General features: G+C 37.4%; 1 annotated feature.

The window, feature by feature from the left end:
• Window positions 5,993-6,787: an enhancer, noted in NCBI's record as "OCT4-NANOG hESC enhancer chr12:58533509-58534303 (GRCh37/hg19 assembly coordinates)". NCBI's record gives its function as "activates a minimal SCP1, AML or CMV promoter by ChIP-STARR-seq in naive H9 embryonic stem cells {active_cell/tissue: H9 hESC(naive)}" and the evidence as "EXISTENCE:reporter gene assay evidence [ECO:0000049][PMID:30033119]".

Below are 22,500 nucleotides of genomic sequence, written 5' to 3'. Positions count from 1 at the left end.
GCCCACATTAAAAAGTTAGAAAGATCTCAAATTAACAACAACCTAACATCACAACTAAAAGAACTAGAGAAGCAAGAGCAAACCAACCCCAAATCTAGCAGAACACAAGAAATAACCAAAATCAGAGCTGAACTGAAGAAGATCAAGACATGAAAAAACATTCAAACGATCAACAAATCCAGGAGTTGGTATTTTGCAAAAAATAATGGAATAGATAGGTCACTAGTTAGACTAATAAGAAAAGAGAGAGGATCCAAATAAACAATCAGAAATGACAAAACCTGGCAGACACACACACACACACACACACACACACACACACACACACACAAAGAAAAACACTCAGGACAATATCGTTGATTAACATCAATGCAAAAATCCTCAACAAAATACTCCCAAACTGAATCTAGCAGCACATCGAAAAGATAATCCACCATGATCAAGTAAACTTCATCCCCAGGATGCAAGGTTGTTTCAATATACAGAAATCAATAAATGTGATTCATCACATAAATAGAACTAAAGACAAAAACCACATGATTATCTCAATAGATGCAGAAAAGGCTTTCAATAAAATTCAACACCCGTTCATGTTAAAAACTCTCAATAAACTAGATATTGAATGAACATACCTCAAAATAATAACAGCCATGTAAGACAAACCCACAGTCAACATCATACTGAATGGGCATAAGCGGCAAGCATTCCTCTTGAAAACCGGCACAAGACAAGGATGCTCTCTCTCACCACAAATATTCAACATAGTATTGGAAGTCCTGGCCAAAGCAATCAGGCAAGAGAAAGAAATAAAGAGCATCCAAATAGGAAGAGAGGAACTCAAACTACCCGTTTGCTGATGACATGATTCTATAGCTAGAAAAACCCCATAGTCTCAGCTCAAAAGCTCCTTCAGCTGATAAACAACTTCAGTAAAGTTTCAGGATACGAAATCAATGTACAAAAATCACTAGCATTCCTATACACCAATAATGGGTAAGCAAAGAGCCAATCAGGAATGCAATCCCATTCACAATTGCCACAAAAAGAATAAAATACCTAGGAACGCAGATAACTAGGGAGGTGAAAGAGCTCTACTATGAGAACTACAAGACACTACTCAAAGAAATCAGAGATGACACAAACAAACAGAAAAAACTTTTCATGCTCATGGATCAGAAGAATCAACATCATTAAAATGGCCATATTGAACACTTATACACTGTTGGTGGGAGTGTAAATCAGTTTGACCATTGTGGAAAGCAAAGTAGAAATTCCTTAAAGAGCTAAAAACAAATCTACTATTTGACCCAGGAATCCCATTACTGGGTATATACCCAAAGGAGTATAATCATTCTACCTTCAAGGCATATGCAGTGAATGTTCACTGCAGCACTATTTACAATAGCAAAGACATGAAATCAACCTAAATGCTGAGGGATAGCAGACTGCATAAAGAAAATGTGATACATATACACCATGGAATACTATGCAGCCATAAAAAAGAGAGAGATTGTGTCTTTTGTAGGAACATGGATGGAACTGGAGGCTATTATCCTTAGCAAACTAATACAGGAGCAGAAAACCAAATACTGCATGTTCTCACTTATAAGTGAGAGCTAAATGATAAGAATTTATGGGCCCAAAGAAGGGAACACTGGGGCCTACTTGAGGGCTGAGGGTGGAGGAGAGAGAGGATCCGAAAAAGCAACTATTGGATGGCAGTCTTAGTACCCGAGTTATAAACTAATCTGTAAAACAAACACTCATGACATGAGTTTATCTATACAGCAAACCTGCACATGTACCCCTGAACCTAAAAGAAAAGTTTAAAAAAAAAAGTACAAAAACTAAAGTGAAAAATTCACTAAAGAGGCTTAATAGTAAATTTGAGCCGGCAGAATAAAGAATCTGTGAACCCGAAGACAGGTCAGTTGAAATTTTCTAGTCTGAGGAAGAGAAATGAAAAATAATATAAATATAAAAACTTTCAGAGACCTATAGAATACCACCAAAAATAGCCATATACTCATAATGAGAATCTCAGAAGGATGCAAGAAAAAGAATGAATATTTAAAGAACTAATGACCAAAAACTTTCCCAATTTGACGAAAAATACATTAATCACATTCAAGAAGCTCAATGAACTTCAAGTAGGACAAACTCAAAGACATTCATATAAAGACACATCATATTCAAACAAAAGCCAAAGTAATCCATGCAGGACAGGAGACAGGAAAGGGTCTATATTAGATATGCATAGAGTTCTAGAACAAGTAGGAGAAGATACAGATAAAAAGTTGGTTGGGATCAGACTACCACAGTAATTCTGGCTTGAAGTGATAAAGGCCTGAACTAAATAGCAGCACTGAAAATCAAAAAGAAGGAATGAAGTAAAACATTATAAAAGCCAAATCAATAGACCTGAAGACTGATGCCATGGACAGTGTGTATGAGAGACATTCGGAAATGACCCAGGTTGTCACATCTCAGGCATTGCAGGATGGCAGCTCCCTCAGAAGCAGAGAATTCAGGAATTGTTGATTAGAAAAGAAAAAAAGAAAAGAGTCTGAGTTAGGATATCTAAAGCTGAAAGCCCTGAACACACAAGTAGAAACCACTAGCAAAGGGTTGGAAATGTGGAACCGAGGAAGATTTGGGAAAAATCGCAGTCCTGGTTTACTCTGGTTGCCCTGGCATCACATCCAGTTTGGCATTTGTCCCAGACAATAGTGTCCCAGTTTGGGCAATAAATTCTATGGCCACCCTATCACTGAGAAAGAAGGTAAAAAGACTAGAGACAAGCCTACAGGACAGAACACCAGGCAATGCCAATGTATGAACAAGAGGAGAAGGAGTAAAGTTCAGTCGTGGGGACAGAAAAGCACACTCAGAGACGTAGGGGAGCATATTCAGAGAAGTGAAGGACAGCCATGACGGGAAAGACACAGTTTCAGGGACGCCATGAGAGAAGAGCCCATCAAGAGGTGGATTATTAAAGATCCACATGTTTTTTTTAATTTTGTGCTTCAAGGAAGTACAAGTTAGAGGATAATAGGGTTTTTTTAATGTTCAGCCTGTTTGTTTATTGAGGGAAAGGAGCTAGCAAAGACGAAGATCAAAGTAAAAGTCAAGGTAATGAAAAGGGCATTGTCTCAGAGCATGTGAGAACAAGAGGAAGGAAAACAGTAAAAACAGGAATTAAAATACCATAGAAATATTAAATAGTTGACTTTGAAAAGTCAAGGAAATTTTCTTAAGAATGGATGAAAGCCAAAAATGTTTGAAGCAGTAACAGATTAGTAACAAAAGAAGAAAACAAAGGTATCGTCACTCCCTGAGAGCAGAAATGGGCCTTATTTATCGAGTGTAGTTATGCCTACCCACTTGGATTCAACTCCCAGTTCTGTTATTTCAAGTAAGTGATTTGATCTCTTTATGCTTCCATTTCCTCATCTGTAAAATGAGGATAATGATGGTATTGTTGTGAAATAAAGTTTACACAAGTAAATGTGCTACAATAAGGTCTTACACATAGTAAGTATTCAATTATTATCTTCATAGTATTGTTTGTAGCTACACTGTCACACATGAGCAATGGAATTCTCTAAATGTTCCATGAACGGATGAACAATGGAGCTCTCTAAATGTTCCATGAATGGATGACGTTAGAATCAAGGTAATAGGCTGGGAGCTAGAATGTGGAAATGTTGTTGAAGAATCATGATAAAAAAGATGAGACTTCTAGAATTCCACAAAATGCAACATTTAAATGATTAATAATTGAAGTCCAGGTTAGTGGGCAGGCTCCTGAAGCCAAAAAGAAGGTAATGGTGACTGGCACATGACAAGAATAAAGAGAAGATTGGGTAGTCCTGAAGGCAAGATTAGAGCAGGATAAATGATTAGTCATCTTCCATATTTCTACAAAATGAAATGCTTTACTTACCCCCCACAGTATCTGGGAGACAACATTAGGACAGGCCATTACAAAAAAAGCATTAGCCAGTTATGTACACACACAAAACCCAGAGAAAGATGCAAAATGTCTTTACTGTCGCCCCTAAGTTCATTCAGTTCACCTGAGATAAGCATCTAAATTCTCTCTCTTTCTCTCTGGACTTCCTCCCTTTTCCCTCCTTCTCTCCTCTACCCTATCTCCTTGGCCTCTTTCTACTTCCTTTCCCTCTTTCTGAGTCCCAGCTCCTCGCAGGAGAGGCAATGTTTCTGGTGAGCAAGCTTCAAGGCTTGTCAATCTTTCTTGAGTTAACATGACCTGCTTCATAGAGCAAGTTTTTTGCTATTCCATTTTAAAAAAGACCCCCTCCATATCTCAGATGAGAGAAGAAGAAATAGAAGATGTGGAGCCCAAAGAAAAGCCTGTTTCACCAGGTAACCATTTTAAGCACAAAGTTTGTCTTAGTCTCTACAATAGTGTCTAAACGTAATAGACCTAATAAAAGCTGGATGGATGAATAAATGAATAAATACAAACTTCAAAGAAAAATAGTACTGATTTGAACAACAAAGACTATTGATATTTGTCTTAGTCTGTTTTCTGCTGCTATAACAGAATACCACAGGCTGGATAATTAATAAACAATAGAAGTTTATTTGGCTCATGGTTCTGGAGGCTGGGGAGCCCAAGATCAAGGGGCTGCATCTGGTGAGGGTCTTGTTATTATCCCATGGCAGAAGGCATCACATGGCAAGAAAGGATGAGAGCGCATGAGACAGAAAGAAAAAGGGAGCCGAACCTCATCCTTTTATCAGGTTCCCACTGCAGCAATACTAACCTATTCTCATGACAACAGTTCCACCCTCATAACCGAATTACCTCTTTAAGGTCCTACCTCTTGATACCATCACAATGGCAATTAAATTTCAACTTGAGTTTTGGAGGGGACATTCAAACCAGAGCAACATTCATGATCCTCTCTTTGAGACTTTTGTTTGCTAACTCACTCTCTGTGTTAGACTGGTTGCATTAAGAGTCTGAATTTTTTGTATCTCTCTATATCCACACCCTTTGAAACTACCTTCCCACATGACTTTGGACTTCACCATGTGATTTGCTTTGGCCAATGAAAAAGCAGCAAACTTGACAAAGCAGACTGTGTTAGATTGTCCTTGCATTGCTATAAAGAACTACCTGAAGTTGGATAACTTATTTTAAAAAGAGGTTTAATTGGCTCATGGTTTTACAGGCTTTACAGAAAGCATGGTGCTAGCATCTGCTTCTAGTGAGGTCCCAGGAAGCTTACAAACATGGTGGAAGGCAACAAGGAGCCAGCATGTCACATGGCAAAAGTGGGAGCAAGAGAAAGAGGGCAAAGGTGCCACACACTCTTAAACAACCAGATCTCACATGAACTGAGCAAGAACTCACTCATCACCACGGAAATGGTGCTAAGCCATTCATGAGGGATCTGCCCCCATGATCCAATCACCTCCCACCAGACCTCTCCTCCAACATTGGGAATTACATTTCAACATAAGATTTGTAGGGGACAAACATCCAAACCATATCCCATCGATGAAAAAGTGAAAAAACACTTGCACATTAACTATCACTAACAAGAATAAGCTTTAGCTAGCCTGTTAGAGGATGTGAAAAACACATGGAGGACAAATGAACTGTCCCTGTCAAGGTCATCCTAGACCTACCGCCACCAGCCTATTCACCAGCTGACCACAGAGATGCAGAGCACAGTCCATCAGCAGAACCTCCCAGGTGATCCTTTAACTCATGAAATATAATAAAGGACTATTATTTTAAACCACAAAGTTTTGGGATATCAAGTAGCAATAGTTAACTAACACACTTTCAAACCCCAAATTCCCATCTGGCTACAGCACTGGACTGACAGCCTTGTCACACCACTTTGGAAGGCGCCATCCCCATCATAATCTGTATGTTGTGCAATGCAGAGCCTGTATAGCCACATGCAGCAGCACTCAGGAGAGCACCAGCATAAGTTAAAAACTCTCTCTCCTGCTTGCCCTTCACCTTTAATTATATAGGGAGGAAGGGAAAAGAAAGTTAAAGGCAGCATGAGCTACCAAGACAAACTGCATATTGCAAAAGGAAACATTTCACTTGACTGAATATTTCCAAACAAGTTTCAACTTCTGAGCATTTTAAACACAAAGAGAGAACAATATAAATAATGTGCATGTGTTTATGTGTACAAATGCATATAAATCTATATACATAGATATGCATTTATATCTATATGGCTCTTAATGAATCATTTCAAGGGACACTTTGAATGTTAAAATGGTGTGAATTTCTACACTCCTATCTGGCTTTCCAGGCACCAGTCCCATCAATCTCTAAACACTGACACCAGGCAGTTCATTGTTTTTCAAATTTACAACATTTTTCAGTCCATTGTTTTTAAACTGTCACCCTCAGTGGGTAGCTGGCACAACTCATTGCTACTCTGAGCTCCCACGGAGCTCATCACCCTAGGACTGATGTGCTAGCAACATTTTCAGTTCACTGATCTCCAGGATGGTAAATACTCTCTGTGTGCTTTCTCTGGTGACATCATTAGTTTTGCCTTCCACCCTTACCCCAAAAAGAAATCATTGCAATTGTGATTGTCCATCCCAAACACAGATAATGAAAATGAGGAGAATTGAAAATAGAACCAATCAGTCTATCCAACCTCTCGGTGGGATGGAAGACTCACTCTCCCCCAGATATCCCAATAGTTTTATGTCATCACTACAGAAATGTCCCTAATATTGCAGACTCTATCTAGTCTCTTGAGAAACTATTCTCTATCTGGTTCTCAACGTAAACAGGCTTATGTGATCGCTAAGCTCCCTTGTTTGTTTTCTGAATTGCATTATGGGCTTCCTTCTTATCTCAGGTAAATGTCCCAAAATGATTTCTTTCAGGGTTCTTAAAGTAATTGCTTGGGATTCAATGAACGTGGAAGTCAAGTCCCACTCTCTGTCTTTGTTGGACATTGGGTGTGATGTAAGGGTAGGGTATACACCTGGAGGAAGGAATTAGAAAACCAGGATCAGCTGACTCCCCTAACCAAGAGTGTGGCTCTGCACAAGTCGCAACCATTTTAGATCTTCATAGTCCTCATCTACAAAATGAAGATTCAGATGATTTCTAAAGCTCGTTTTAGCACTGAAACCTTATTATATTATCCACATGTTCTCCTGATTTTTCCTTTAACTACAGTAGAGTGGTTAGGCTTATTTCAACATTTATGGCATTTCCATTCACTATATTTCCTTATATAAATTGTTTGCCTGTAAAAATGTCATAATATGTTTTTAGTTCTCCATTCCATCTAGGGTTGGAAGGAATGAAAAGTAATCGAGTGATTTAATCACTCAACAAACATTTATTGAGCACTTATTATGTGCCAGGCCCTAAGTAGCAGGCCTGAGAAAATAAAATGAAAGTGATGATAATACTGATGTTCCTAATTATTTCTCTACAAAAACACTGAGTGAAAACCTTGGTCTCAACCTCAAACCAAAGTACACATTTAGTCTATTAAAATGTTTTAATCAACAGATCACTGCATTATACCAGACCTAAGAAGAAGCTAAAACCTTTTGCTAAAATTGTGTTTATACACACAGCCTTCAGTTCATCCTACAGAGATCATGTGAAAGTTGCATTCTGAGAGTTGTTTAAATTAATTAAAATGCCTTGCACTGTGTCTGGTATAGGAGAGAAGAGCTATTATAATCTTTATCTTCCTATCCCTCTTCCTATCTTTTCTTCTCCTTTCCCTAAATCTGCCTTTTCTTTCACTCCTACTATTCCAACTGTACTCAAAAGAAACACTATTGAAGCAGCAGAATTTCTTCATCCCCACTTTCAACAATGGTGAAAGGCAACTGCCTTCTTTGGCTCTAATCCAACTTCTTTCTTAACCCTCTACTGAGTATATGCTTATAACAAAAATGACCTGAAAATCAAGTAGGTGATAGGAAATCTGGTATTGTCCATAGGTTGCTGAGGGATCGTATTTAAAAATTTACAGAAGCCGGCAGCTCAATAACTCACATTGGCAGAAAAATTCTGCATCTGCTATTCACTCCCTGACAAGTTTCTTCAAGATAAAGTCCATTGTGACCATGTATTTACATAACAGATTTTCCTCTGGTTTTTGTTGCTTCAACTAATTAATTTAGAACACAACTCTAATCTCTAGCACCTCTCCCCCAGAGGAACCAGGTCTATTAGAATGAAAACCTTGCTTTTTCAAGTATAATGAGGACTCATTAGTTGTGTTGTATAAGTCATTAGAAAAGATAATTTACCACACAGAAAAAAGAAATAACTCAAATGGCTTTAAGACACAGTATATGGGCCATATTTATTTAATGAGTTATTTTTAAGGGCAAAAAAAAAAAAAAAAAAAAACCTTAAACAATTTAGTAATCTAACTGTTAGTAGTAGTATTGGTATTATTATTTTTAACTATTTATACTTATACATTATATATATGGAAGATAAAGCTATAAAAATATCTTGTTATTAGGAATTAAGATTTTCACTGAAAAGGAAAGAAGCAAATGTATAATTTCGTAAGTTAAGTAAAAACCCTATTAAATTTAAATTGGAATTGGAAATTTCACAATTAACTTATGGGTGTTTTAATACAGATTCCCTAGCTCTTGTCTACTAAAAAGGCTTGAAAGCAATAACAGCTCAGGAATTAGCATGTTCACTGACGAGATTTGGGATTCAAATATTATATACCACTGAAAGGAACCAGGACTCCTTGAAGAAAAAGCTGATTCCCCAGCTAAAAAGGGAAGTGAAGGACCTCTTCAAGGAGAACTACAAACCACTGCTAAAGGAAGTAAGAGAGGACACAAATAAATGGAAAAACATTTCATCCTCATGGATAGGAAGAATCAATATCATGAAAATGGTCATACTGCCAATTTATATATTCAATGCTATTCCCATGAAACTACCATTGACATTCTTCACAGAATTAGAAAAAAACTACTTCAAAATTCATACAGAATCAAAAAAGAGCCCACATAGCCAAGACAATCCTAAGCAAAAAGAACAAAGTTGAAGGCATCATGCTACCTGACTTCAAACTATACTGCAAGGCTACAGTAACCAAAACAGCATGGTACTGGTACCAAAACAGACATATAGACTAATGCAACAGAATGGAGACCTCAGAAATAAGACCACACATCTGCAAGCATCTGATCTTCAACAAACCTGACAAAAACAAGCAATGGGGAAAGGATTGCCTGTGTAATAAATGATGCTGGGAAAATTGGCTAGCCATATGCAGAAAACTGAAACTGGATCCCTTCCTTATACCTTATACAAAAATTAACTCAATATGGATTAAAGACTTAAATGTAAAACCCAAAACCATAAAAACTCTAGAAGAAAACCTAGGTAATACCATTCAGGACATAGGCATGGGCAAAGATTTTATGATGAGATCACCAAAAGTAATTACAACAAAAGCTAAAATTGCCAAAGGGATCCAATTAAACTAAAGAGCTTCTCCACAGCAAAAGAAACTATCATCAGAGTGGACAGGCAACCTACAGAATGGGAGAAAATTTTTGCAATCTACCCATCTGACAAAGGGCTAATACTCAGAATCTACAAGGAACTTAAACAATTTTACAAGAAAAAAAAACCCCATCAAAAAGTGGCCAAAGGATATGAACAGACACTTCTTAAAAGAAGACATTTGAGAAAAGGCTCAATATCACAGATCATTAGAGAAATGAAAACCAAAACCACAATGAGATACCATCTCATGCCAGTCACAATGAGGATCATTATGATCATTAAAAAGTCAAGAAACAACAGATGCTGGCGAGGCTGTGCAGAAATAGGAACGCTTTTACACTGTTGGTGGGAATGTAAATGAGTTCAACCATTGTGGAAGACAGTGTGGTGATTCCTCAAGGATCTAGAACCAGAAATACCATTTGACCCAGCAATACCATTACTGGGTGTATACCCAAAGGAATATAAATCATTCAGTTATAAAGATACATGCACACATACGTTTACTGCAGCACTATTCACAATAGCAAAGACATGGAACCAACCCAAATGCCCATCAATCACAGACTGGATAAAGAAAATGTGGTACATATGGAATACTATGTAGCCATAAAAAGAAATGAAATCATGTCCTTTGCAGGGACATGGATGAAGCTGGAAGCCATCATCCTCAGCAAACTAACACAGGAACAGAAAACTAAACACCACTTGTTCTCACTCATAAGTGGGAGTTGAACACTGAGAACACATGGACACAGGGAGGGGAACAACACACACCAGGGCCTATTGAGGGGGCAGTGGAAGGGAGAGAATCATGACAATAGCTAATGCATGTGGGGCTTAAGACCTAGGTGACAGGTTGAGTAGGTGCAGCAAACCACCATGGCACACGTATACCTATGTAACAAACCTGCACATTCTGCAGAGTATCCCGGAACTTAAAGTAAAGAAAAAAAAAAAAAGAAAAGAAAAAGCTGTTTCCAGGTCTGGGGCATGAAACATACAAGATGAGCTTGGAGCATTTTGTGCTCCAGAAAGTAAGGAAGCTATCAAAGTTTAATGAGACTCTTCAAAAGTGTTTGAAAGCAACTTAAAGGGGCTTCAACTGGCCAGAGATGGAACAATTTGAGCATCAAAATGAATAATGATTGTGATTGGTTGGAATACACTGACTATATAAAAATCCATGATGAATCTTTTTTTAAAAGACAAAAGAAAATCTCTTTAAAGAGAATGAATTTAGAATTCATCTTGCCTTTCTTATTTAAAAAAAAGTATTTCAGAACACCAAATAGTTCTAGTTTAGGTAGAAAAAAACTCTGTAGAAGAATTTCAACTAATAAATGTAGCAAGAATTACTGCATTAAAAAATCACCGTTTTGCAATCCCTAATGAAATAATTGCTTAAGCAACCTTTAATAGTTGCTAAAAACAATTAGATGAAAGGATAACAATAACTGTACCAAAGTGACAAACCACTGATTTGACATAAGCATAAGTAAGTGGTGGCAGTGTGGGGTGGGGGGCTGCAACTTTATTACAGAAGTACGAGATGATCACTCTTAGCATCCCTAAAACTAGAAAGCAGCATGTGCTTCTGATAGGTTGTAATATGGTGTACCCAGCTCTAGCTATGAAGTATCCTTGTTGAAAATGTTGAATCTGAACTTAATCAAGACTCTAGCTCTAACTTCCAATTCATGGGAAATACAAGGGAAAGAAGGATAGGTTAAATGACATCATTTGGAAGCAACCAAACATATCCCAAATGAGAAGTATTCTACACGACAAATGACCCAGTCTTCAACATGTTGATGGCATGTGTTAAAAAGGAGTGGTGGCTGTAAGAGTACCTTTATAAATCAAAAGGAGTCAAGAGACATGGCAATCAAATGTGTGTACCTTATTTGCACTCTGATTAAAACAAACTAACTGTTAAAAAAAAAAAAAGGACACTTTGGAGAAATTCCAAGTATGGGCTGGGTGTTAAATAATATTATAGAAATATTGCTAATACTGTTGGGTTCTACAGTAGTATAGTGATTATGAAGAAAATGTCCTTATTTTTAAAGATGTGTAAATGTATTGAACTATTTAAGCACAAAAAGTATCAGATTTTCCTGGATATGCTTTAAAGTTCTTCAACCAAAAAATAAAAATAAAAACAAGTATGATGACATGTTAATAGGTATTTAAGATGAGCGTGTGGAGCTTCATTATACTATTTTCAACTTCTATTTTCCCATGATAAAAAATGTTCTTCAAATATGAGAAAAACAAAGCCCCTTACCTCCTGGAGAGTATCTCATGATAGCTACAATTATTTTTGGTATAGTGAAATAACTGTTAGTCTTCAGACTCCCTATACAAATGTTTGAAGGCTTAATCCCAAAATGAATATTTTGGTATTATTTATTGTTGATTTTCCCAAATTGGGTGTTAAATTTCTTCCAAAGTCTTCCTCCTCTAAGACCTATATTAGCTGCCACCTGCTCCACTAAATCTATTTATTCATTCATTTAACAAATAGCTATTGGATGATTTAACCTGCTGAATCTGGTCCTAGACACAGGAGATATTGTGGACACACTAAAGACAAGTTCTTGACTCTCTGTGAGCTGACAGTCTACATGACAGAGACAGGTAAATAAGAAATTACAGTGTACAAAGATGCATGCTATAATAGGGGAACTGAAGGGTACCGTAGGAGAGGGATCTGACCAAGTCTGGAAGGGTTAGACTTGTGAACTGAGACTGGAACAGCCAGTAGAAGTGGACCAGGCGTCAGGAGACCAAGAGTAGCCTAGGCAGAGGGAACTGCATGTGCAAAGGGACAGATGTAAAACAGAACATGTCGTGCTCTTGGAATTTGTGATGGTTAATTTTGTGTGTCAACTTGACTGGGCCATAGGATGCCCAGACATTCAACCAAACATTATCATGGGTGTATCTGTGAGGGTGTTTCTGGATGAAATAAACATCTGCATTGGTGGACTGAATAAAGCAGATTACCCTCCCTGATGTGAGTGGGTTTCATTCAATCAAATGAAGACCTGAATAGAACAAAAGTTTGATCAAGAGGGAATTTTGCCAGCCAGACTACTTGAACTGGAACATTGTCTTCTTCTGCCCTTAGATAGAAACTTAACAACCATCTGTCCTAGGTCTCCAGCTTGCCAACTGCAGATCCTGGGACTTCTCAAACTCCATAATTGTGTGAGCCAATTCTTTATTTTATGTGTATATATATATATATATATGTATATGTATACACACACACACACACACATATATGTATATATATATATCCTATTGGTTCTGTTTCTGTGTAGAACCCTAACTAACCTGGAACTGAAAAAAGGTTTAGTAAGGCTAGCCCATGAACTGTATTTTTGGGGATGGGTAAGGCAGAAGGAAGAAGAGAGATGAAGTTGGAAATTTAAGCTGGAGTTCACATACTAAACACTTTGTCACAAAGGGAATGAAAAGTCATGGCAGTATTTTACCATGAGATTGATGTGATCAGATCCACGTTTAAGAAAGACTATGTTAGCTGTTAATGAAGAGTAGACTAGAGTGGGCAAGACGGTAGTCAGGGAGACCAATTAGGAGGTTGCTGCAATACCCCAGCCAATAGGTTCCCTTCATAGCACTCTCATCAAGGCACTTTGAAGCTCCTTTATGGCCTTTATCCTTTCTGCTTGAAGCACAAATATTTGTTCATATGTTTTCTCTCCCATTGTAGAACAAGCTCCTTAAAGATGGGAACCACGTCTCGCCTTAATTACCCCCACATAGCTTAGTAATAATAGTCATCATTCAACACACTATATTCAGGCACTCTGTATACATAACGTCTAATTCTCAGTAACCATACAAGCAAGGTAGCTATTATCTCCATTCAAAAAAAAGTATGCCAAAATTTAGAAATATTAAGTACTGGCTCAGGCCCAGAGAGCTGGTAAATGGTGGAGCTTGAATTCCCACCCCAGTCTGTCCTGCTCCAGTTCTTATATTCTTTCCACCATATCATGCTTTCCTAAACAATGTCTTTTATCTTGTGTATGATCAATAAGTGTGTGTACAATTGAGTTGCAAGATGTTTGAGTCCAATCTTATTAAACCATAGACATGTTCTTATGATGTGTGCTTGTCTACAGATGAATGGGAAAATGTTAGCTACACTTCAGTTTTTTTAACTTCTAGAGTACTCTAGCTGGGCCTTTTTATTCTTATAATGAATGTGAAGGTACATTTCAAGGCTTTGCCATAAATGATCTAAGTAGTGAACTGACCAGTGATTACAGGAAGAGTCAGAGGATGCTGGAGCCAAAGAGGAGAACCGAGGCCAGCCAAGAGCATCAGCAGCAGGTCCAGATGCAGTTCAAGAAGAAACATTAAAGGCTGGCATCGCTCTCCACTTAATCTATAATGTGACCGAGCTGCGATCCCAGTGGTGTTGAGAAACAAGAATCAGCAGAATTTTGCAGTTCTAATAGAATGTATAAGCAACTAAAGGTTTCAGAGAAGTCTTCACTTTATTACCTCAGAGTCGTATTCTGACCTTGTGGCTGCTCTTTGTAAAAAACCCTTTTATGCTTTCTCACATAAGTAGAATTAACATTTTTCCCTCCATGACATGAACTCATGGTAGATGAATGCTTTAGTAGTTTGCAAGTAGTTTTTCAATGTCACATTTCTATAACAGTGTTATGGAACAAAACTAATTGGTGTCTGTATTGAAGGCAATTCTATTCACAGCAAGATAAATTGGATTTCTAAACTGTGATTTCCATTGTGTTACCTCTATGTACCATGAAACTTATCTTGATGTGCACAGCAGTCAGGCTACTTACTAATACAGTGAAGTCCAGCTTTATGCTGAATCCATCATCTCTCTCTCCCCAAGGGAGAACAGAAGCACAGCAGAAGCATAATTGTTGACCACCATCTAATGGAAGGGGTTAATGAGGATACACTACACTAAATAAAAGTGTGAACATTCAAAGACTAGAAGAAAATAATCCTTATCTAAAAGGACTATACACCATTGTGAATTATCCAGTCTGCCACCGTGGACTTTTGTGTGTACATGAGGTTTTTGTCTCTTTTATGCTTTTTTAGTAATATTTTTTAGAGATACAAATACACATAACTACTATTTTAGAATATAAGCCACCATCAGTAAAAAACAATCCTATCCTGCAATTTGTAAATTTGGACCCTGCTAATCTTAACTTTTAATAAATTAGACAGTGTCTTGGGTGGCACTTTCACAATTTATGAAGAAAAGATTTGCTGAGTGAATTAATGGGGTAAAAATGTTATGAAAAATAAGATTAAAAGCTTGAATGTTCATACCATTATAATTAAAAGACAATCTTAAGACAATAAAGCTTAAAAGCATGGATTCTGGAGCCAGTCCACCTGAATTAGAATCTTGCCCCCACCACTATCGTGACCTTAGACAAATTAGTTAGCCGCACTGTGCCTAAGTTTTCTTGTCTGTGAAATGGAGATACTATGTTGGTACAAAAGTAATTGAAGTTTTTGCCATTAAAACTAATGGCAATATAATAGTGTATTCTTCATAGCAGGTTGTCATAAAATTTATAGTTAACAATGCACTTAGAAAAGTTCCTGGAATACAATAAACACTCAGTGGTACCAGCTATTATTGTTGTTATTCTTATTATCTAAAAGCATCATTATTTTAACAAAGTGACAAACTAGTTACAGTTCTATCATACTGAGTCAGTCCAGCAAATTTCCTTAGAATCTTTAGCAGATTCTAGTAATTCCTTATTGTGTTGCTTCATTTACATTATTAGGTGTCTTTGAAAGTAAGAAAACCGCATTCCTTTAAAAAACACACACACACAAAACTCTCTCCGTAGATTAGTTTCCCCACAGTTATTTATGCTGGTGTCTAAAGTCAACCCTAGGCTGTTCGACCAGTGCCTGAGCCTTCTTCCTTTTTGTTCAGCCAAATCCTTTCCGGATCTTGGAAAATTGCACCATGTGCAAAAACCCCCACTGCAGGGATGTAAGATAAAGTTCCTTTGTTTGCGGCATGGGTCATTTCTGTATATTGGAAATCATATTTACATCTTATTTGTTAAATGCTAAAGGGAAAGGAGACATTATACCTTACTCTGTTTCAGAAAGAAGTACAATAGAAGAATGAATTTTAAAAAGCAATATTTTCCTAGTTCAATTGGAGTAAGTGATTACACAAAGTGTAATAATTACATAAAGTATAGTTCAGTTGCTTGTACATTCTATTAAAGCTGCAAAATTCTGCTGATTCTTGTTTCTCAAAACCACTGGGGTTGCAGCTCAGTCACATAATTATACAAAGTGTAGTTTTCACAAGCAGCAAGTCAAAGTGGCTATATCCAATATTTTGTGTCAGTGTAAAACTGCCAAATAATTTCTCCTAAAATTTAAAATTTTATCTCTAATTAAACTGTGATGTTCTTGTGACAAGAATGCACATTATTCATTCAGGTAGTATCTAGCAAACACAGAGTGTGCAATACATGCTCATTAACTTCAATGAGCACATAGCACAGCCCTGGGCTCACAGGACACACTCAAATATTTTTAAATGAATAAACCAGAGGAAAGTAATGGAAACTGGTTCCAGGTGATCTGCCTCCAAGGTTGTAATCAAGTTTAGGAAAGAAACAAGTATAAAGGACAAAATGGATACCACCCCTAAGTGATACACAGATATATATCTGATACATGCATTCACATATATAACCTGAAGCAATCTCAATTATTAGCATTCAAAAGTAGCAGGAACTTCAACTATAGATGAAAGATCAGCAATTTATATGGATAATGACAATAATAAACAAATTTTTTTTGGATCAAAGCCACCATTTAGAATGTCCTTGATTAGAGGATGTAGAACTAGAAATACCATTTGACATAGCAATCCCATTACTGGGTATATACCCAAAGGATTATAAATCATTCTACTATAAAGACTCATGCACACATATGTTTATTGCGGCACTGTTCACAATAGCAAAGACTTGGAACCAACCCAAATGTCCATCAATGACAGAGTGGATAAAGAAAATGTGGCACATATACACCATGGAATACTATGCAGCCATAAAAAAGAATGAGTTCATGTCCTTTGCAGGGACATGGATGTAGCTGGAAACCATCATTCTCAGCAAACTAACACAGGAACAGAAAACCAAACACTGCATGTTCTCACTCATAAGTGGGAATTGAACAGTGAGAACACATGGACACAGGGAGGGAAACATTACACACCAGGGCCTGTGAGTGGGTGGGGGACTAGGAGAGGGATAGCATTAGGAGAAATGTGTAATGTAAATAATGGGTTGATGGGTGCAGCAAACCACCACGGCACATGTATACCTATGTAACAAATCTGCATGTTCTGCACATGTACTCAAGAACTTAAAGTATAATAAAAAATAAAAATAAAAATAAGCCCCTAAAATATGCATTAAAAAAGAATGTCCTTGATTAGCTCTGGGGGCAGAAAATTTCCCCAAAGCCTTCATGCAGTTTGGGCTTTAACATTTGAAAAAAAGAAAAGAAGTTTCTGAAATGTCCACTGGGATTTGAACTCTTGTATTCCCACTGACCAAATTCAAATGTAGGGTAGCCACACGTCAGCATCATTTCTCATCACCAGACCTGAGAGCTGAGCTCATCTTCCCCTGCGACGTTATTATTGTTATCTTTCAAGACAGTCTCCAGTTCTGGAGACTGTAAAGTTCAAGATTAAGGTGCCAACAGGTTCAGTGTCTAGTGAAGGCCCATTCCTCTTAGATAGGACCTTCTCATTGCATCCTCACATGGGGGAAGGAGGCACGGCAGCTCTCTGGGGTATCTTTCATAAGGGCACTAATATCATTCATGAGGGCCCACTCTCTGATCTAATCACCCCCCAAAGGCTCCACCTAATACCTTCACATTGGTAATTAGGTTTTCAACATGCAAAACTTGAGGGGACACACACACTTTCAGGCCATAGCAAATCTCAAACCACAGAAACATATGAGGCATCATGACTAAGAGCCAGCAGAAGCAATAGACAACATAAACTAACCTCTGTACTTCAGATATAGGAACAAACAGACAAGTATGTTTACTATGTTTAAGAAATAAGAGGGGATAAATACGTTTTGTTATTTCATATAATAGAATTCTTTGCCACTGTGAATTACTGCTACATGCAACAAACTGGATGAATCTTAGAAACATGTTGAATGGAAAAAGTCACCAAAGGATAGTTATAGTATGATTCCATTTATATAAAGGTCAAAACATGTGAACTAAATACTGTTTCTGGACACATATGTTTGTAGTAAAAGTATAAAGAAAAATGAGAATAATAAACACAAATTTCAGGGTTTCATTTATTTACTCTAATGTGGAAGGAAATGAGTGGACTTCAAAGGTGATGAGAATGTACAAATTCTTTGGATGATGAATTCTCGGTAATTTATTGTATTCTCATTTTTTAGAGTTTGAGCGTATTTCATATATACTCTTTTGTATCTCTGTAATATCTAATAAAAATTATTTTTAAAAGAAGGAAAGACAAATAAATGACCATATTTATCAAGCGTAAAACAGACAAGAAAAGCATAAAATAAAATGATCCCTTGCCAACTACTAAGAAAAAAGGAAAACACAAGAGAAAAATAAGCAAAGGACACGAACATGTGATTACACAATAAGAAATACAAATGGCCAATGAATATATGAAAAGATATTCAACTTCACTAATCATAGTAATGCAAATGAAACAGAACTATATTTCACCCACCACATTGGAAGCATTTTTTAAAATGACATACTATCAGAATTGTAAGAATATGAAGAATGAATGGATGAAGTCTTGTAGAGGGCAATTTGATATTATTTATCAAAACTTTAAATGTAAATACTCTTCCACCCAACAATTTCATTTCTAAGAATCTATCTGATTAGAACACACATACAGTTGGTCAAGTTTTATATAAGATGTTCGTTGTAGCATTATTTGGAAAATTAGAAACAACTTAAATGCCCATCAATAAAGAAAGAGTTAAATTAGAATACAACTGCATTTTATCGTTTTGGAATGTTTTCAACAGCAAGTAGAAATTGTGCCTTAAATAAACAAGGGCTCATTGTTATCTTATAACAAAAGCCTAGAAAAAACTAGTGCCATTGTTGGCACAGCTGCTCCATGTTCTCATTAAGGACCCAGGGTCTCATCCTTCTGCTCCTCCATCCTTTTATTTCAATTTGATTATTATTATTTTTTTTTTTTTTTTTTTTTTTGAGACGGAGTCTCGCTGTCGCCCAGGCTGGAGTGCAGTGGCGCAATCTCGGCTCACTGCAGGCTCCGCCCCCTGGGGTTCACGCCATTCTCCTGTCTCAGCCTCCCGAGTAGCTGGGACTACAGGCGCCCGCCACCTCGCCCGGCTAATTTTTTGTATTTTTAGTAGAGACGGGGTTTCACCATGTTAGCCAGGATGGTCTGGATCTCCTGACCTCGTGATCCGCCCGCCTCGGCCTCCCAAAGTGCTGGGATTACAGGCGTGAGCCACCGCGCCCGGCCCTCAATTTGATTATTGTTCTCAGCTCTCTACCCCTTTTATCTGCAGTATAACCTTGCAGTGTGCTAGAATGGGCTGATGTTGGAGTTGGCCTTGCAACATGCATTGGCCAACTGAATGTGGGTAAAAGTAATTGCGTATGTGCCAGTTCCAGGACAAGGTCTTAATAGGATCTCATGTTTCTACCAACTCTCTTGCACTCCTGTGATCCATGATAAGAATTATTTCTTAGGAAACCTCTGACCCAAGAGGAATGAAGAAATACAAAGCTGAACCAAACTCACAGGTTAGAGCCAAGCCCAGCCAATCCTGGATAAGCCGAGCAGAGCCAGAGCTAACTCAAATACCCGTGAGCAATAAAATAAATATTTTTGTTGTAAGCCACTGAGATTTTGAGGTTGTTTGTTAGACAGCAAAGCTAACTAACAAATTTTGAGTGTTGACTTTCCATCCTTAGGCCTGTGGCCTGTGGTCTCAAGATGGTTTCAAACTCCAGAAATCACATCTCCATTCAAAGGCAGGAAGTTAGGGGTGTGGGGAGGGCAGCCAGGGCAGAGAAAACCCTTTTTTTGTAACACTCTTGCTTTTTCATCAAAGAACACTGAAATTTCCCAGAAGCCTGTATGCTGGCGTTCCCTTACATTTCATAGACCAGAACTGTGTCACATGGTCACTGTAGCTATTAGGGAGGTTTGGAAGTAAATACCCCGCAAAAAGGACCACAACTGGTTGGAAAAAAGGCCTTGCCTGAGATCAAGGGATATCTGCCCTCTGCCTGGCAAATCAAGGGATTATTGGAAAAGCATATATAACTATGCTATCTACCATACATGTTATATAACACTGGGCAAAAGTCAAATAGAATAAGGTGGATTTATACGTAGTAACATGAAAAGAAATGCCAAAGAGCTATTATTCAGAAAAGAATAGCAAATTACAAAGCAATATATGTAATATTCTGATTTATGTTATAAAAATAGAAACTACAAGCTTGCATGGGTGCATATATATATATGTGAATACACAGAACAAGGGCTGAGGAGTCTGCATCACTCACAGTAGTCACTGCTGAGGACGAGGTAGTGAACTAGCAGGACGTGCTAAAAGAACTTAATTCCCTCTATATACTTCTGTATTATTTGAGTTTTTAAGAACATAGAATAATTTGTGGATTGCTTCTTTAAAAATTTACTTTTCATTAAAAAATTAAAAGCTATGTAATTGAAAGAACTGAACACAAACATGAGATACAAAAGGTCTATTTTTTTTTCATTAAGGGGTTAAAAAAGTTTTCTCTATAACCCAATTAATTTCTGGCTCCTAGGAAGAAAACAGAATTTTTCAGACATGAGGCTGTGTTTGTCCATTGCCAGGCCTTTAAAACAGAAATTCCCTTTGAAATCCTGTCTGTCTTGTAAACTTCCATGCTTCTAACACTTTCACTGGAAATGGCCATACTGCCAAAAGTAATTTATAGATTCAATGCTATTCCCATCAAGCTACCACTGACTTTCTTCACAGAATTAGAAAAAAAACTACTTTAAATGTCATATGGAACCAAAAAAAGTCCACATAGCCAAGACAATCCTAAGCAAAAAGAACAAAGCTGGAGGCAATACAGTACAATACAAGCTACAGTAACCAAAACAGCATGGTACTGGTACCAAAACAGACATATAGACCAATGGAACAGGACAGAGAGAGACCTCAGAAATAACACCACACATCTACAACCATCGGATCTTCAACAAACCTGACAAAAACAAGCAATGAGGAAAGGACTCCCTATTTAATATATGGTGCTGGGAAAACTGGCTAGCCATATGCAGAAAACTGAAACTGGATCCCTTCCTTATACCTTATACAAAAATTAATTCATGATGGATTAAAGACTTAAATGTAAAACCTAAAACCATAAAAACCCTAGAAGAAAACCTAGGCAATACCATTCAGAACATAGGCATAGGCAAAGACTTTATGACTAAAACACCAAAAGCAATTGCAACAAAAGCCAAAATTGACAAATGGGATCTAATTAAACTAAAGAGCTTCTGCACAGCAAAAGAAACTATCATCAGAGTGAACAGGCAACCTACAGAATGGGAGAAAATTTTTGCAATCTATCCATCTGACAAAGCTCTAATGTCCAGAATCTACAAAGAACTTAAACAAATTTACAAGAAAAAAACGACCCCATCAAAAGTGGTTGAAGGATATGAATAGATACTTCTAAAAAGAAGACATTTATGCAGCCAACAAACATATGAAAAAAAGCTCATCATCACTGGTCATTAGAGAAATGCAAATCAAAACCACAATGAGATACCATCTCATGCCAGTTAGAATGGAGATCACTAAAAAGTCAGGAAACAACAGATGCTGGAGAGGATGTGGAGAAATAGGAAGGCTTTTACACTGTTGGTGAGAGTGTAAATGAGTTCAACCATTGTGGAAGACAGTGTGGCGATTCCTCAAGGATCTAGAACTAGAAATACCATTTGACCCAGCCATACCATTACTGGGTATATACCCAAAGGATCATAAATCATTCTACTGTAAAGACACATGCACACGTATGTTTACTGCAGCACTGTTTACAATAGCAAAGACTTGGAACCAACCCAAATGCCCATCAATGATAGACTGGATAAAGAAAATGTGGCACATATACACCATGGAATACTATGTAGCCATAAAAAAGAATGAGTTCATGTCCTCTGCGGGAACATGGATGAAGTTGGAAACCATCACCCTCAGCAAACTAACACAGGAACAGAAAACCAAACACCACATGTTCTCACTTACAAGTGGGAGCTGAACAATGAGGGCACATGGACACAGGGAGGGGAACATCACACACTGGGGCCTGTCAGGGGGTTGGGGTAAAGAGGAGGGAGAGCATTAGGACAAATACCTAATGCATGCCAAGCTTAAAACCTAGATGACGGGTTGATAGGTGCAGCAAACCACCATGGCACATGTATACCTGTGTAACAGATCTGCACATTCAGCACATGTATCCCAGAATTTAAACTTAAAAATATATATATATATATATACACACACAAAAACACTTCATATATAAGCTTTGAATAAAGACTAACCATTTTTTAATACAAAAACAAAGAATGCTCAGCTACACAGAATTAATTTCCATACACCCCAGCCTTTCCTAAGTGGCTAATTCAGAGAATAGCTTATTTATCATTTGAATTGTTTGTTGCAAAATGCATTATCTTAAACTCACCTTTGCCACCACCCATGAGAGACCTAAACACATTTGCTTAAATTCAATGTGCCCAAAAGGCAACCATTGCCCATTTTTAAAGTCATGTGTATAAAATCAAAGGCATTAAA

Source organism: Homo sapiens, chromosome 12, assembly GCF_000001405.40.
Source record: "Homo sapiens chromosome 12, GRCh38.p14 Primary Assembly".
NCBI lineage: Eukaryota > Metazoa > Chordata > Mammalia > Primates > Hominidae > Homo > Homo sapiens.
This window is presented reverse-complemented; position numbering and strand designations above follow the sequence as displayed.